Below are 16,786 nucleotides of genomic sequence, written 5' to 3'. Positions count from 1 at the left end.
TATATACAATTCTGATTGCATAGGTACACAATCTGTTTAGCAAAATAAAGGAAACCTAAATAATGTTTTTTCTCAAGGCTAAAGTTGCTACTAATTAAAATGAAATATGTTCTAAATGATTCTGAAATTGCCTGCAGTGAGAAATACTGAGTCTATTTCCATGACACCCAAGCTGATTCTAACACTTTCCATCTTAATGAGTATCCTCAGTTGAGTTACCAGGCACTATATAACATCCTTTCAATTAGAAAAAGAGAAAAAAAGATTAAGCAAAGTAAGAACACACCATTAAGGATGAAAGTAAACAGCTAAACATTAAAGAATTAAAGAGGAAGCAGAGCAGTCTGACAGTCAAATTACAATACAGTATTGCCGCGAACCACAATCGAGTGTAGGGAAGAGTGGATATTAGAACAGCTAAGCCAAGCAATGCTGATAATATTTTAAAAATTGTTTTGAATTTTTTTTTTTTTTGCTGTTAACCTCTGTGCTGGTTTTACTCTTGAACAGGGCTAACATGTAAACATCTACAAATTCTTGTTTTTTATTTAAACGTATGCTTTTACAAATGCAAGGAACCCTTCACTGAAATAAAAAACAAACAAAAACAGAACAACAACAAACGCATCTACTTTGGACCCAGAGAAGAAGGTAAAGGCATATGTCTGATGTCATCACCACTATTTCAAGAAAAATCCACATGAACAGGGGACATAAAAGTAGTGAAAATGAGCAAGCAGTTAGGGAACTTTACATTCCAAACTCCCAAAGAGCAGGAGGAGAGACTGGAAATTTCACCCCACATTCTCTCCCCTCACTTATCACAAAAAATCACATTGTATTAGTTCAGTACCTTATGAATCAGAGACTGAATTACATTTGGCAAGAACCCTCTCTAGAGTGAAATGGACCAGAATGGAAAAACCTACACAAATAAGATAACCCACCTCCGGTCCAAGACTTGAAAATAACTAAATAGAATTACAACTGCGAAGCTATTCTTTGGAATGATGCTTTGACCAAAATAGTTCGACACACCTGCTACCAAAAAAAAAAAAAAAAAATCCCTGTTAAGAGAGACTCCTGCAACGCACAGGAGTGAAACTAATAAAATGTTCTTGGTTTCCTTTGGGCGTCAAGAAGCTGCCAGTAATAGACTTGAAGTTGTGATGCTCTTTGCAGCAAACCTCAGGAGACCAGGTGAAAAATTAGAGCACTATTGTAAGAGTAATGTCCCTGGAATAAACAATCTGCCACATCCATAGTCTTCGTCAGAAACCTGCTTATGTTCTCCTAGAAAAGTCTAACCATTCTAATAACCTCAAAGTATTTTATCTCCTAGCAGGAGGACAAAACTATGTTGTCAACTCAAAAATGTTCCTGTCATCACTGCCCTACCACTCTCTGAAGAGCCTGTAAAATATGGTTTGCAGAACTGGGTACCCTGAGACTCAGAAGGGAAAGAAGCAATGAGGTCATGCAGTCTACTCCGTCTGCCAGCTCAGGATTCCTCCTGCTGAGAATGTTCCTGCCCAAGTTGTAAACCCCACAAGATATAGGGTCATCCCAGACCCACACGGGCAGGTGCAGAAAACACAGCTGCCCACAGCAGACTCAACATAACTCACACGTGTGTGCTCATCTTTATCCACAAAGATGGAAGAGTTTGCTATGTGGGCAGGTCACCCCCGGCCCTTCTGATCCTGAGTGAGTGCCCCTGGCACACTGAGGATTCATCCTGCCCAAATTTGTCAGTCATCCTCCACAGATTCCCTGCACGCTGCTGCAGTTTACCATCGTGAACACATTTCCCCGGCTGCTGCTTCAAGGACAAAGACAGAGCACTTATATTCGTATCACAGCAGAAGAGCTCACGTTTATGGAAAAAAGATAAAAAGACAAACACTCCAGGCAAATGACCCCTGGCATTTTTGAAGCTGGATCATCCCAGACAAGATCCATGAAAACAGAGGAAATGCAGAAGGAAGGTCACTAAGCTTAGCTGGGAAGAGGGGGAACGAACGGTTCAGTTCACTGCAGCAACAGAGCAGCTCATTCAACGTAAGCACTTACCATAAAAATAGAAAGAGTCAACAGAAGGAGAAGGGATCCTTCCTCAGTGCCTTGGTGTCTTCGGCAGAAAGAAATCCACTGTGAACCTCCAGGCTCCAGTCGGGAGGAGGCCAGCAAAGTGATGACAGGCAATAAAACCACCACACACAAGTCCTTTTCAGCCTCCCCTCGGGCCGTATGCAGTTGTTTGTGCTGTAAAAACCCTGAGAAGTCTGGAACAGGACTCTCCGGAGAGCGAGCCGGAGTGAAAGCAGCCTGGTGGATTTCACCACCGTCTCAGAGCATCACGCCCAGGACTGGTCCTCCCCCTCCCCAGGTGCAGGGGAGGCATGGTCGGGGGAGGGTGGGCACTAGGCTGGGCTAGGAAAGGCGAGAAGAGGGATGAAAAGGAGTCTCTTTAGAGTGGAAGGAACTGCCGGAGAGAACATCAGTATTCCATATCAGTTATTGCCAGCGACCAATCAGCCCAGCCAGGGGGCCGTGTCAGTGTGACAAGAGAGCAGCAGATGACAGCCAGTTCTGAGAGCGGCAGGACAACCCCCTGCCTGGAAAAGAAATTTGGGAGGATTGGCAACTTATCCTCTCCACTGCTGCTGTTAATGTTTGCTTGTATTTAACAAAGATCTAAAGCCCCATAGTTACACTAGCCATGCAGGAAGTTTTTGAGGCATCCCACAGCATCTCTGCAAGAAGCCAGACTTGAAGTCCCCTAAATGATGTCTGATGGCATGTCACAGTCCAGACAGCCCTACTGATGTGCCTTCAAGGGGTCATCATGAGTACAGTAATGGCGCTTTGGACCTAAGCTTCTTTATGCCCAAAGTGCAGGATAAGATGACCAGTGACCCGGCTTTCTATTTCAGAAGTGAAAAATTTAAGACAGAGAAGGGTCAAAGGTCTCTCCAGGAATTTGACTGTCAATCTTCATTAGTTTTCTTGTATAATATAGGTATAGAAATATTGTTAGAGGTGAGCTTCTGAAGATAGTTAACATGTCCCTTTTAGAGCTCTTAAATCACCTATAAGACAAAATATGTGTTTGGGATAAACAATAATAACAATTCATAAACACACTGAAAATTGAGAAATTCTGACTTACACTAACAGAAGGAGCAAAGGAGCAAATCTCTTGGTGATAAATGAAGGATGCGTGGAGGACTCTAAACTTTTCCTACTTCCCTTTTCCCCTATTCTAATATTGAACTTATAAACTTTGTCCATATATATTAATTAATTTGTATTTGGTTGTGATGATTACATTATATAGGGATGTAGTTTCTGAAGTTAAATGCCAGTTTAATTGGACTCCACAGTAAAACTTCAGAACTTTTTGTAAGATGGGGAGATTGTCTTGGGCCACCTTTTTATCACTGCAGAAAAGATAACTCCCTTTAGTCAGTCAAGAGTTAACAGGAATATACAAATGCCCTCGGGTTTTGTTTTCTGTTTTTTTTTTCCAGGTGACTTACATGATGTAGAGTTTTTAATTTTAGTTGTCTGTTTTTACCTAGAAGTTGGAATACCATTTGCACATTTTGCTGTGATCTCTACCCGTAGGCAAGCTGACTTTGGGGAGCCTGAATACCACAGCTTAAAAGGAAGGGCTGAGCTCCAAGGAAGCAGATAACTCAGCACCAAAATGAGTCACAGCAGAAGGCCATAAAAAATGTTCCACATCAAAGATGAACATAATAAAGTGAAATTTTTTAAACGAAGAAGAAAGGATAGTTTGCCAGGGAAGTCCTTGTAAATTATATAAGGAAAACCTGGGAGACTTTGATTCTCAAATGCTGTTTTGTTATTCTCCTCAGTTCAACTCAAATCAGCAAACATTTGAAGAACATCAATTATGCATCAGGGCTACAGAGATGAGTCCTTGCCTTCAAGAAGTTTACAGTCTCATGGACAAATTTAAATCTTCTTCTTGAAATTTCAACACTATGATTCTTGCCAAGACAGAAAATGTTCTACTATTTTAATGTTCTTCAGATTAAACCAATCCATGAGGCTGGACTTTAGCCTCAAAGCTCTGAATTAGCCTAGTTAGATGTTTGTCATAACCGAAGCCATTCAGGAAATATAAATGCACAAATAATTTCTGAAATCGAATTAATATATGAGAAGGTTCTTTAACTGAATGTTTGTTTTTATCTGCATTAACGGCTTCTGACACTGTAAAAGCATGGGCAGCATATCAAGAATATACTTAATAAGGGAATATTATTTAAAGCTCCTAAATGAATTGAGATTAATACTGTTGATGAAACGGGTTCATACCTTGAATACACAGCATTATAATGATGCATGAAATGGAAAATACTGCAGAAATACAAATTATCTAGTGGATTAAGTAACTGCACATCTATATGACAATTGATCAATAAAAATAGGTATTCCAGTTATTAACTCAAACGCCATTAATTTTTAAAGTTCGGTCTCTTTATTCCTCTCTACTAAAAAAATGACAGAAAATGCCTCCCATTTCAGATAGCAACAACATTAATTTTTGTAATGTACAGATTGTTTATACAAGTCAATTAAACTTGGGATGATATCAGCGATTGTGTCTTGTTCACTGGTGTTGAACTGGTGTAGTACTTAACATATAATAGGTTCTCAATCAGTATTTGTTGGATCGATGGCCATTTGAATGGCCAAAAGAATGTGGCTAAAATTCTACAACAGCACGATTTAATGCCTTTTTCCTGACTACAAGATAAACTGAATTATGTACCTGTATCTGCCACTTATTTAAAAAGAAATAAGATAGCTTTTTCAGGAACTTTGTTTCACAGAAGCTTGTTGACAGAGCTTTCTAAAGGCTAAAAGACAAGTATTCTTCAAGCTCAGTCTTTCAACACCAGGGTAGACACAGTTCATGGGAAGTGGGTTCTGTGTTCTGTAACTAGCCTAAGGAGAAAAAGTGAAAATATGACTATTTTCCAGACCACCGAGAGGGTAGGCGGCCACATAATTCCATTTTTGACATCAGAATATTTTAATGGAGGTATGAGAATTGGGACTTTTAAATAACTTTCTGCCAATTAATGGTTTTGAAAACTAAGTTATAATCTGCATATGGAAAAGTCTGTGTCTCTTCCATCTAACTTCTGAAAGCCAGTGTCTAAAATAACTAAACCCCACCATGTGCCAGAGTTGACTCCAATGGCTCCACCTATCTTTCCAGGCCTTTGCAGCACCCATAGTGTAAGTATTATGTACACTGGGGCACCTGGGGCTCAGGGAGGCTGAAAACGCTCACCCAAGTGGCAAAGACAATGTAGGAACAACTGGAACAGCCTCAGAGCTTCCTTTTATATGGAGACACTGATTTGAACATAGGAGGGGGTCCCCCAAGAATGCTTTTAGACTAAATGTATGAGACAATAGAGGACCCTTCCCACCATGTTACATGAATTTGGATGAGGTGGGAATGACACAAGTCCAAGTTGAAGCCGAAACTTCTTTTACCTCAGAGATTAAATGTAAATCTTTTATGCAACAAAAAATGAATTCCTAATGCTTATAAATTAAAGAGAAAATGATTTGTATTTGTTGATTTTTGTTTCTCAACTCTGACCCTATAATTACCATTTTTGTTGTTGTTGTTGTTTTTTGGAGACAGAGTCTCGCTCTGCCATCCAGCCTGGAGTGCAGTGGTGCGATCTCGGCTCACTGCAACCTCTGCCTCCCGGGTTTAAGCAATTCTCCTGCCTCAGCCTCCCAAGTAACTGGGACCACAGGTGCATGCCACCATACCCAATGGGACCACAGCTGCATGCCACCACACCCGGCTAATTTTCTGTATTGTAGTAGAGACAGGGTTTCACCGTGTTGCCCAGGCTAGTCTCGAACTCCTGAGCTCAGGCAATCCGCCTGCCTCAGCCTCCCAAAGTGCTAGGATTACAGGCATGAACCACCACACCCAGCCTTGAATTACATTTTAAGGCCAAGAGGAATAGTCCTTACTTACTAGAATAATACTATAGAGGGAAAGAATATTCTAGAAAAGTATGGGACTGACATACACATTAAAGTATGGTCCCTCACTAAATTCTAAAATCCTAATTATCCTTCAGCATTCAGCAGGAGACCTGAAATGGAGAGAGGATAGGTTGAACTGCTAATGTTTCCCTATCAGAGGTCAATGGCTGCTAATAATTTCCCCAAAGTGCTTAGTAGGCGGGTTTGCAAATAGCAACAACCATTCCAAATAGTAGGTATCTGCAGCACATAAATATAATGAGAGCATCCAAGTCTTCAAAAATTTGTTTGCACAGTCAGCATTCCTTAGCCTGAAGAATCCTATGGGATCATCAAAATCAAATCATACAGAAAGAATCCATAAGATCACAGACCTATAATTTTTTCTTTTTTTTTTTCTGAAGATAGAAAAATAAATCAGTGGCTGACTTAAATAGTCAGGGAGAATTAGGCTGAGTCTGGTGAAGCCAAAATAAGAAGTATGTGTGTGTGCACCAATGTTAGAAAATTAGCGTGTGCATTTAAAATCTAACTGGAGTGTCTCCACATCCAATCAGTACTTAAGTCTTACCAATGTTACCTCTAAACTTCTTCTCAACACAGAATTAGGGGCTGCAACCAATTCTTTCTTTTAAACTATTATAATGGTTTCTAAACTCTCCTTGGTTCCAATCTGACCTACCTTAGCCATTAGAATTTTCTTTCTAAAATACAACAAATATAATCATGCCATCCCCTTGTAACAGGTCTGGGATGATCAGGCCAAATACACCCACTTCTGCACCTGACATTCAAAGCCCTCTGCAACCTGACTTCAGTCTACATTTCCAGCATAATTTCCCACCATTACTTCCTATATTATCTCATGCCCTGGTTACACCTGTTGCTATTCCCCACAGAGAGTGTATTCTTCTATTGCCATAATCCTTTTTTCCTAGAATAGCCTTCCTGCTTCTCTCCCTGGAGAATCCCTCCCCACCACTATCAATCATCCTTCAAGGCCCAGTTCAATGCCATCTTCACGGTGAGGCCATCCTCAAATTCCCCAAAATGACTTACTTAATCGCTTCTTCCTCTGTGTTTCCGCAGTGTTTTTTCTCGTCTTTTTATCAAATACAAATAGCAGATAACACTGTGCTAAATTAGTACCTTTTAACCTATTTAAGTGGGACCCTTTGTTATTTCCAGTGTCTGACACACAACAGGAGCTCAATAAGTACACAAAGAATGAATCCATCTTTCATGCCTCTTCCTTACAGTCCAAAGCACTTTGAAGAAAGGACAAACTTGTTTTCCAGGAATTCATGCCTACAAGCTTATGAACCATATATATCTCCTCCTTCAACCAGGAGTTTCTATGGTTTAAGTAAAGAGCACTGAATTAGAATCACAACAGCCATGTCCCAGCTCAGTGCGCTGTGTCACCTCAGGCAATCTCTTAACCTAAATGAGAAGCATAAAACTTGTCCCGCTTATCTTTGAGAACTTTTCTGAGCTACAAATGAGGTGCTGTATGATAAAGAACTTTACAAACTATAAAAGCATATGGTAGTAGGCATAGCTATTGTCACCGTTGTCATCATTGCTTTATAATTGTTATTGTTGCTAATATACCAAAAAAGCCATTGCAAATTTTGTTAAGATAGGTATTCCATGCAAGCAGCCTAGGAGGCCAGTGACTCAGCACTTATGTCATTCCAAGTGCCTTGCTTCAGTCCTGCTGGTCTGCAGTTAGGATGAGGTGGAAAGAGTGGAGTGGGAAGGCCTTGACTCTGCCTCACTCTGTGACTTCCTAACTATGTAGACCTGGTCTCTGAGACCCAGTTCCCTCATCTAGGAAATGAGAATAACAATGCCTGACTATGTAGCATGAGATGGGGTATATATATTTATATATGGTATGCATACATCCATTATATTTTTGAGCCTCTAATAAGCATTCCATGAGTGGTGGGAAGAAGGTAGCCATTTCTCCCCAGCTCTATCACATCTACAAGCCCTAATCACTGTCCTCCTGTTTCTTGAACTCACCAAGATCATTCCCATCCCAGGGTCTGCATATCTGTTTCTTTTGCTTGGAACCCCTTTTCCTTAGATCCTGGAATGGCTTCTTATCAGAAACGCTTCCCTGACTCCCCACCTCAATCATTTTCCAGCTCGTTACTCTTTTTTTTTTTCTCATTACATTTATCTCTATCTGTAACCACTGTATTTGATTGCTTGTTTAATGTCTATCCTCTACACTATCATGTACGCTCCACTCAGGCAAGGACTGTTTCTTCTGTGCTCCTCACTGAGCCCTCAGGGCCTAAAAAGTGTCCAGAACATAATACACACTCAATATACACTCAAGATGGATTTCTTGAATATTTACAGCGTGACCAATGTTTATGCAACTGTTCCCATGTTCTCTACATCTGTACAAAATTCCAGCTATCTCTGACTCTTGAGTAGGAATGAAATCAAGGAGATCACTTAGTATGGAGCTCAGGGTAGTATAACAACGTTCAAGTTTATATAGATACATAATAACGTGTAACACCCATTAACAAAGATTAAAATGCTATCCAGTGACAGGAAAACCTACAAATAATATGCCAACTCTTGCACCCTACAGAAACAGGAATGACCAAGAATGGCAAGCTGATCCTCACCTCTATAACTGGAACTAAGGTACTGAGTAAAAACGTTAAATTACATTTATTTAATAAGTCAGGAAGTTCAATAGATCCCATTTCACATTTTTCTTCTCTTATTTTATGTTAAAATCGATCTGGTCCAAGTCTATCCTGGGAAGACTTGATCCCTGAATTATCAACTAGCACAAATGACTTCAGGGAGCCCAGAAATCTAGGCAACTTTTCTTTCCTCCCAGGGAGCTGTCTCAAAGGTGAGATACACAAAATCCTCCCAAGCCTGACCACATCATCCCTCTTTTCTCATTGGCCTAGCCTTAGAGGAGGCCTAATAAATAAATAACCATGGCAATCAGGGATAAAGTATGAAGGTTATTTTCTAACGGTCATTTCAATTAGAGCATTTTCAATTAGCAACAGCATGTCCATCTACCAAATAGGCATATGAATGTATTTGTCATCAGCAGGAAACAGCTAGCTTTGTTTTTTAAAGGAATAAATGCCCTAGACCCAATACCAAATCCAAGCTTTTTTTCCTCCAAGCTTGCACTTCCTCTGACTTTCCATTTTTCCATGTAAATGCATCGCTATCTACTCTGTGGCCCAAAGAAAATGACATTTATCAAAATCCTATATGGATGACTGTTTTGGCCACATTACAGGGCAGCTAGAAATCTCAGTGCCATCCTCACTTTAACCCATTTGTCCATATCACCTCCTGAACATTTCTTTCTTCTTTCTATCCTCACTGTGCTGTCATTGCCCCAGTCTAGCTATTAATTTTCCCCAGAGCGAATATCATAGTCTCAGAAGCAGCCTCCCTGCCTTGAGCCTCACTCTGGCCAACCCCGAGGATTTTTAAATGAAGATGCCATCGTGCCTTCTCCAACAGAAAACTCTCCTCTGCGTCTTACTGTGTGCAGGATGAGACCTGTCACAAGCCCCATGACTGCTCTCCTACCTTTCTTCTTGCCATCATTCCCCACTTGCATCCTCTCATTCACTTACATCCTCATACTCAGAGTTGCAAAACTCACCAAGCTGTTGAAAACTTCAGGGTCCTGGCACAGGCTTTTTCCAATGCTTGGACTTTCTTTTCCCTGCCCTCCTCCTGTGAATCCTTATTTATTCTCCAAGGACCACCCAAGCATCTTTCTCCTCTTTAAAGCATTCCTTGACAGTCCATCTGCATGTCCCCAATGGAGTAACCCATCTCCAAGTTTTGGCACCGATCACACAGTAGCATAACTGTCTTACTATGTGTTTCCTTCAGAGAAGTCCCCACCCTGAGTTTTATTCATCTTTGTATCCCAAGAGATAAACTCTCTCTGGAGACACTCAAATACGTGATTATAAAAAGACTGGATGTCTCTGTGTGTCTGGCTCTCTTACTAGACTATATGTTTCCTCAGGGATGGGAGAGTGTTTTTACCTATCTTTCTAACCTCTCAGCTTATTGTGATGCCTGGTACATATGGATCCTCAGTGTATATCTGTAGAATTATTTAGAGTATGATTGGCTAAAAAGAAAAAATTCTTCAGTACAAAGAATTTTAAAAATCCCTCTGAACTGATTTCTAATTAGCTCATTTATTAAAATTTAAATCTAAAACATCTCCTTCTCCTTGAGATTATAAAACACCACAGGCATTAATTTATCCCACAAAGATTCATCCTCTGAAATCCTTGGCTTTTAATGCTAACCCAAGTAATTGAGGCACCTTGGGGATAGTAAAGCATTCCAAACACACTTTCTAGTTGGAATTGCCTGGCAGAGAAATAGGTATTGATTCTTCCAGGCAGAAGGGGCTTGATGGAGAGATTTCACCAGCATTCAAATTTGGAGGGAAAAAAACCCTGTCTTCCTGAGCACAAAATTTCAGTGTAGAGACTGGGGCTATCCCAATGGGCTGCTGATGTTCCTTGGTGGCCCAGTGCCCTGCCCCAATGCAGAGGTACCATTCCAAGAACAGGTGTGGCTTGAAGAAGTAGGGCAAGACTGGGGCTTACAAGGGACCCTTCACACCAGCTTGAGGATTATTTAATTCCCCCCCACCTTTTCCTACCTCACAGGAAGTTAGCTATAGTGCATCCAAAGAAGTGGAATAAATTAAATGCCTCTGCTCATAACTGCAATAACCATCAGCGCCTAAAGAACTACACTCCCCTTGGTCGGGTTAAATTCAAGCAAGCAAGAAAGCCCACTTAGGCAATTGCAGGGACCCAGCTTGCTTTCCCCATTCCTTCAGTGTTGCTGATCCATAAGCAGAAAATTAAGAATGAACTCTAATATCAGTGCTACAGGAGTGATTAGCTAGTGTGCCATTGCTATAGAATTTCCCCTCATTTCTCTGCAACCAATTTCAAGTTCTATTACTTGAGCTGAGAGGAGAAAGCAGAATGAGCATTTTAAAGGACTGTGACATGCTCATATTTTGGTAAAATAAAACTAGGCCATCCACTGAACATTCTACACCTTTATAGGGATGAATTTTTCCTTTTATAAATTTTTAAGAAGTCCTTTGAACCTCCTAAATCTGCATTGCTGGAAGGAATGCAAAATGGTACAGCCACTTTGGAAGATACTAGCAGTTTCTTACAAAACTAAACATACTCTTACCTTACGATCCAGCAATCATACTCCTTGGTATCTTCCCAAACGAGCTGAAAACTTATGTCCACGTAAAAACCTGCACATGAATGTCTATAGCTGCTTTATTCATAATTGCCAAAACTTGGAAGCAACCAAGATGTCCTTCTGTAGAGGAATGAAAAATAAAACTGTGGTATATCCAGACAATGGAATATTATTCAGCACTAAAATAAAATGAGCTATCAAGCTATGAAGAACATGAGGGAATCTTAAATGCATATTACTAAGTGTAAGAAGCCAATCTGAGAAGGCTACATATGATATAATTCCAACTCTATGACAGTCTAGAAAAGGCAAAACTAGGAAAACAGTAAAAATATCAATGGTTGCCAAGGTGGAAGGAGGAAGGAGGGATGAACAGGCAGAGCACAGGAGATTTTTAGGGCAGTGAAACTACTCTGCATGAAACCATGATGGTGGATGCATGTCTTTATAAATTTGTCCAAACCCATAGAATATACCATACCAAGAGTGAGCCCTAAGGTAAACTATGGACTTTGGGTGATAATAATGTGTCCATGTAAGTTCATTGGTTGTAACAAATATACTAACCTTGTGGGGGATGTTGGTAGTTGGGGGAGCTATGCATATGTGGGAGGCAGAGGGTGTGTGGGAAATCTCTGTACATTCATCTCAACTATGCTGTAAACCTAGAAAATAAAGTCTATTTAAATACAACAAAACTGAATTTCCCTGAAGACTAGGTAGCCTTTTTACTAATTTAAGTTGTCTTACGAAGTAGATACCTCTAGAAAACAAAGGGCTTTGTTTAAAAAGAGAAAGAGAGAGAGAGAATAGAAGAAGAAAGAAAAGATGAAAAAAAAAATAGTGAGAGGATTCCCTACACCCCACATAAAACAAAGTCAAGTTCTAAGGAATCCACTGGGGCAAGCACACAGACAAACGGCATAGCCCTGCTTTTACAGCACTGAATCCAAACATGAATGTTAGGGGAATGGAATATTCTTGTAATACACTTACCCTGGTCAAGGCCTAACAAACCAGAACACTGGGAACATATCGTGAATTCCACTGAAAAAGTAAAAAGAAACCTATAAACAAGAATTCTTCCTTTTTCCTTTGGAGGATCCTCCCATTTTAGATTTATTTTGTATTTCTGTCTAGGGCTAAAACAGGAACTATGTTAGCAGAGGAGAAAAACTGCATGTGGGGTTCTACGCAAGAGTAAAAACGAGAGAATCAGCTACAAAAGATTTAACTACATCTGTAAATTATTGACTCTCAACTGCAATTACAACAATAAGAGAGAGGAAAATGAATATCCTTAGAAGAGAACTGCAGTTGCTTTGCCTGGAGAAAAGGAGAAGGAAATACTGAATAAACCCCAAGGTAAGGGTAGAGGAAGAGTACCATATCAATGAAGGAAACAGTCGCTGTGTTCCAAAAGGGGACAAGGGGTGTTCTGGGTGTAGTTAGAAGATCCCTACAAGAGGGAAGATTTGGTTGGGACTTAGAGAAAGAGTAGGAGGATTCTGGCAGGTAGAAGAAGTTGGTACAGGCCAGGAAGGGCATTCCTACTAACATTATGGCCAGAAGGTAAGAGAGAATTGGGTCAGGAGTGGATTCCTTCGTTCATTAATGCATTCAACAAGTATCTGTTTAGCAACTGCTAGTGACAGAAACAGATGGCGGAAGACAAGGGGTTAAGCAAAATACAACAGTGAAAAACCACACACGGCTTTGAACATTAGATTGCACTTGCCGTAGGCAGCAGACAGCCTGGCTAGATGGAGCCATGGAGTGTGTTCTTCCACACTACACTCCATGGCCTCCACAAATTAGGTTAGGTCCCACTAATTAGTTGCCCTTATCTGAGATTTGGAAGGTGGAAATGAGAGGGAGACCATCTTCCTGATCTTTATGGACAGTTTTCTACTTTGACAAGTAAGATCACAGAGATGTGAGGTTTTTCTGCAGCAACACCCAGGGTACATCACCATTCTGAAGTGAAGAAACGCAGTTGTGGGCTAGTAATATCATTGCCTTCCCGATCCAAGAACAGCAGATAAAGCTGCAAATTCCTGACCTCTAGACTTGCAGATCCTTGGCACATGGTTCTTGTGCCTGCTCATCTAGCCACCCTTAGATTTTATAAACCTACACCCCACATTAAATCCTTTCCTGATTAAATACTTAGAGTGCCTTCTCTTTCCTATACTGAATCCTGACTGGTATAACCGATAAGGATTTTTAACAAGGGAAATAAATGATCAGATTTGTGCTTCAGGAAGTGATCTTGACAACTTCTTAGAAAACAAATTGGAAAGGAGATGGATTGACTAGAGACAGATTTGGGAAGGTCTTACGAATGTCCAGCCAAAACGAGGTACCTGGAATACTTGGATTGAATGAAATAGTTATGGTAGGAATGAAAAAGAAGGATGGAAACAAGATATTTCATAAATTGAAAGTAAGATCTATTGAAAATGGGGTGGGTAGGAATAGGAGAAGAAATGTAAACTTGGCCATTACCTCATCCCAACTCTGCTGGGGATCCTCTGAAGTGCCCCCACTGCAGTCTGTCCTCCTACCATCAGCACCCACCACACTTCCTCAATCAGATCGCCTTTGTCATACTCCTCATTGTACCGTAGGTGCAAAGCACACTGGATGGCCCATAACAGAGTGCTCAAGACACAGTTGTTGGGTAGATAGAAGAGAGAAGGAAGGAAGGAAGGGAGGAAGAAGCCTCCAACCTCGGAGCCACTGTGAGGATTCAGATTCTGTTAACAATGAAAGTAATCACAGGCTGAGTATTGCTTGAATTATGTTGAGTTTTGGATTAATGAAGCATCCAAGTGAAGAAAATTAGCACCTGGTAGAAATATGTGTCTGGAAGTTGGGAAATATGTGAGCTTGATACAAATTTTGGAGTTAATATACAGAATGAAAGCTGACTGCTTCGTGGGAAAGAGAAAGCCTCAGTACACTTTGGATAATACCCTTAGTATTACAAACTACAAAGGGAAGGAAGTCTATAAAATATCAGTTACCATATCTACACACTGATTGTTCTTTTAATCCTTACAGCAACTTACAAGTAAGGTATTATTATCCCCATGTTCCAGATAAGGAAACTGAAGCTGGGCAAAGTTCAGCATTGCCCAAGGTCACACAACTGGTGACGAAAAAGCAGAGATTCAACCCTATGTCTGCCTGACTCTAAAACCTATGCTCTTCATTATGCCTCCATGAAAAAAAGAAGGTAGAGAAAGTGACTAAGGACTGGCAGAGGGGAAAGAAGAGAGGCAGATAAATGCAATGATGCAGAAGCCAAATAAGTAGACCCAAAATAATGAGAGCAGACTAGGAAATGCCAAGAGGAATCCATGGTTTTTAACCATAATCAGGTGACCTTAGATAGGGCCAAGTAGGAAGGAAGTACAGAAGTAAAACGTAAGGAGAGAAAGAATAGGTTCTTTCTATGGGCCACATTCAAAAACTTGTATGGTCATTGGAAGGATAGAGATTAGATGATTGTAAGAGGGAGAAACAAAGTCAGGCATGAGTTTCTTTAACATCGGAAAGATGTGAGATGCATATGGGTCACAGAAATAGTGAAGAGTGGAGATCAGAGATGTAGGAAGTAAAGGCAATGAATAAGAAAGGTCCCCAGGAGATACTGAGAAGGGATGACCCAGCTTTTGAGAAAGGAGAGAAGACAGACTAATGATAAGATTAAGTTGTGGTTCTGAATCTGATGTCCACAAAGGAAGTGATGAAAAGCTGATGAACAGTTTCCAGATTGCCAATGAGACTCACAAAAATTATGTATTTGCCTCTGATCAAGCTGCACACAAACAGAAACCAGTTATTTCCTTTTGACTGGAATTATATCAACCCATTTGTAGTACTGATTATCTCATGCTGATAAGAAGCTCTGATAGACAGTTGAATTTGTCTTTGGTTAACCAGAAGAAAGTGATCACAAATTAAACATCATTAATTAAATGCTGTCTTTTTTATTAGTCTTCAAAACATGCATCCATGGCAGGGGATAATGAAAGGAGCCCTATGTAGCAAAACAGTTATTAACTGTCATTAGAACTAAAGGCCATTTCTCCAGAGCTATAGAAATACGCAATACAGTAAGACATTATTTAAATGTTGTGGCCAAAAAACAGAAACAGAATACAATCAAGCAGTAAATAGATTAATTAAATCCAATCTAGTAGGGAAGCAAGCTGGGTGGATGATTACAGACTTAAATCAGACTAGACAAGGTATAACCAGAATCCAAAGCAGGGGGACTATAAGACCATTCTATGGGCACAGGCATATATGGAAACCTCACTGATACAGCATGTAAGGAAGAGGGGTCTATGCATTGCTTGTAGTTGTAAGAAAAATCTGCCTGGATACCTGAAGCCTCTAACCTCAAGAACCAGCAAAACAGCTCTGTGGTTGATAGTGGAAATGCTCCCACTGCAGTGAGTAAATGTCTACTGAGCCAGGGAGCGCTCCAATACTGTTATAAATAAAATCTTTCTTATCAATATTTTAATGTCTGATATTAAAAGTGTTTATAATATTTAAGAGAGTTTGGCACATTAGAGTATCTAATAAATGAGCATTGTGACTAATGTAAATTGAGTGATTGAGTAGCTGAGACTTGTGAGTTCAAGTTAAAAGCTATGACAGAATTTTGCTAAATTTGTTACAAAATCGGAATGTTTAAGAGAATCTAAGTTTCACTGTGTTCATATATTTAATTTACTAGATTTATGAGAATTAGATTTTGTTTGCTAGGCAGGCAAATGAAGTTTAAAAGACAGAATATTAAAATTATTAATGCCTTAAAATAATTAGGATAATTTTATTAAATAAATGAAGCCAAACAATGACCAACAGATTCCTTGTGACTATTAACACCTAAAAATTTTAAATTGCGGCTGGGCACAGAGGCTCACACCTGTAATCCCAGCGTTTTGGGAGGCCAAGGTGAGAGGATTGCTTGAAGCCAGGAGTTCAAGACCAGCCTGGGCAACATAGGGATGAGGTAGGAGATCAGCAGTACTTGTGTTCCGACCCTCAGTCAGGACTCTATTGATCAAAACAGGATGTAGCAAAGAAATGGGCCAAAACCAGGATGGCAACAAAGGCAACCTCTAGTTGCCCTCATTGCTCATTATACACTAATTATAATGTATTTAAGACATTCCCACCAGTGCCATGACAGTTTACAAATGCCAAGGCAATGACCCAGAAGTTACCTTATACAGTTCTGGGAGCTACCTAATCCTTTCCCAGACCAGAAAGTTCATGAAGAACCTGTCCCTTAATTAGCATATGATTAAAAGTAGGTATAAATACAGCTAGCCAGCAATCCACGAGTGCTATTGGCTGCTACTCTGTCTATGAGATAGCCCTGCTCTGTCTGTGGAGCAGCCATTTTGCTGCACCCCGTTGCTCTAATAAA

The 16,786-nt window shown here is 40.2% G+C and overlaps 1 protein-coding gene across 13 annotated transcripts in view; it reads right to left on the bottom strand.

Annotated features, from left to right (window-relative positions):
* Positions 1–16,786, bottom strand: part of ANO4 (anoctamin 4) — a 411,381-nt gene that overhangs the window by 331,541 nt on the left and 63,054 nt on the right. For 2 of the 13 annotated variants that reach the window (NM_001286615.2, NM_178826.4), the window contains exon 1: positions 2,074–2,325. The exons of the other annotated variants lie outside the window; for them this stretch is intronic. The gene's annotated coding sequence lies outside the window, so the exon portion shown is untranslated. Of the gene's footprint in view, positions 1–2,073; positions 2,326–16,786 lie in introns of those variants that run through there. 13 annotated transcript variants of the gene reach the window in all.

The sequence above is a fragment of the Homo sapiens genome, chromosome 12 (assembly GCF_000001405.40).
Source record: "Homo sapiens chromosome 12, GRCh38.p14 Primary Assembly".
NCBI classification, from domain to species: Eukaryota; Metazoa; Chordata; class Mammalia; order Primates; family Hominidae; genus Homo; species Homo sapiens.
The sequence above is the reverse complement of the archived record's forward strand: the minus strand, read 5'-3'. Positions and strand labels throughout refer to the sequence as shown.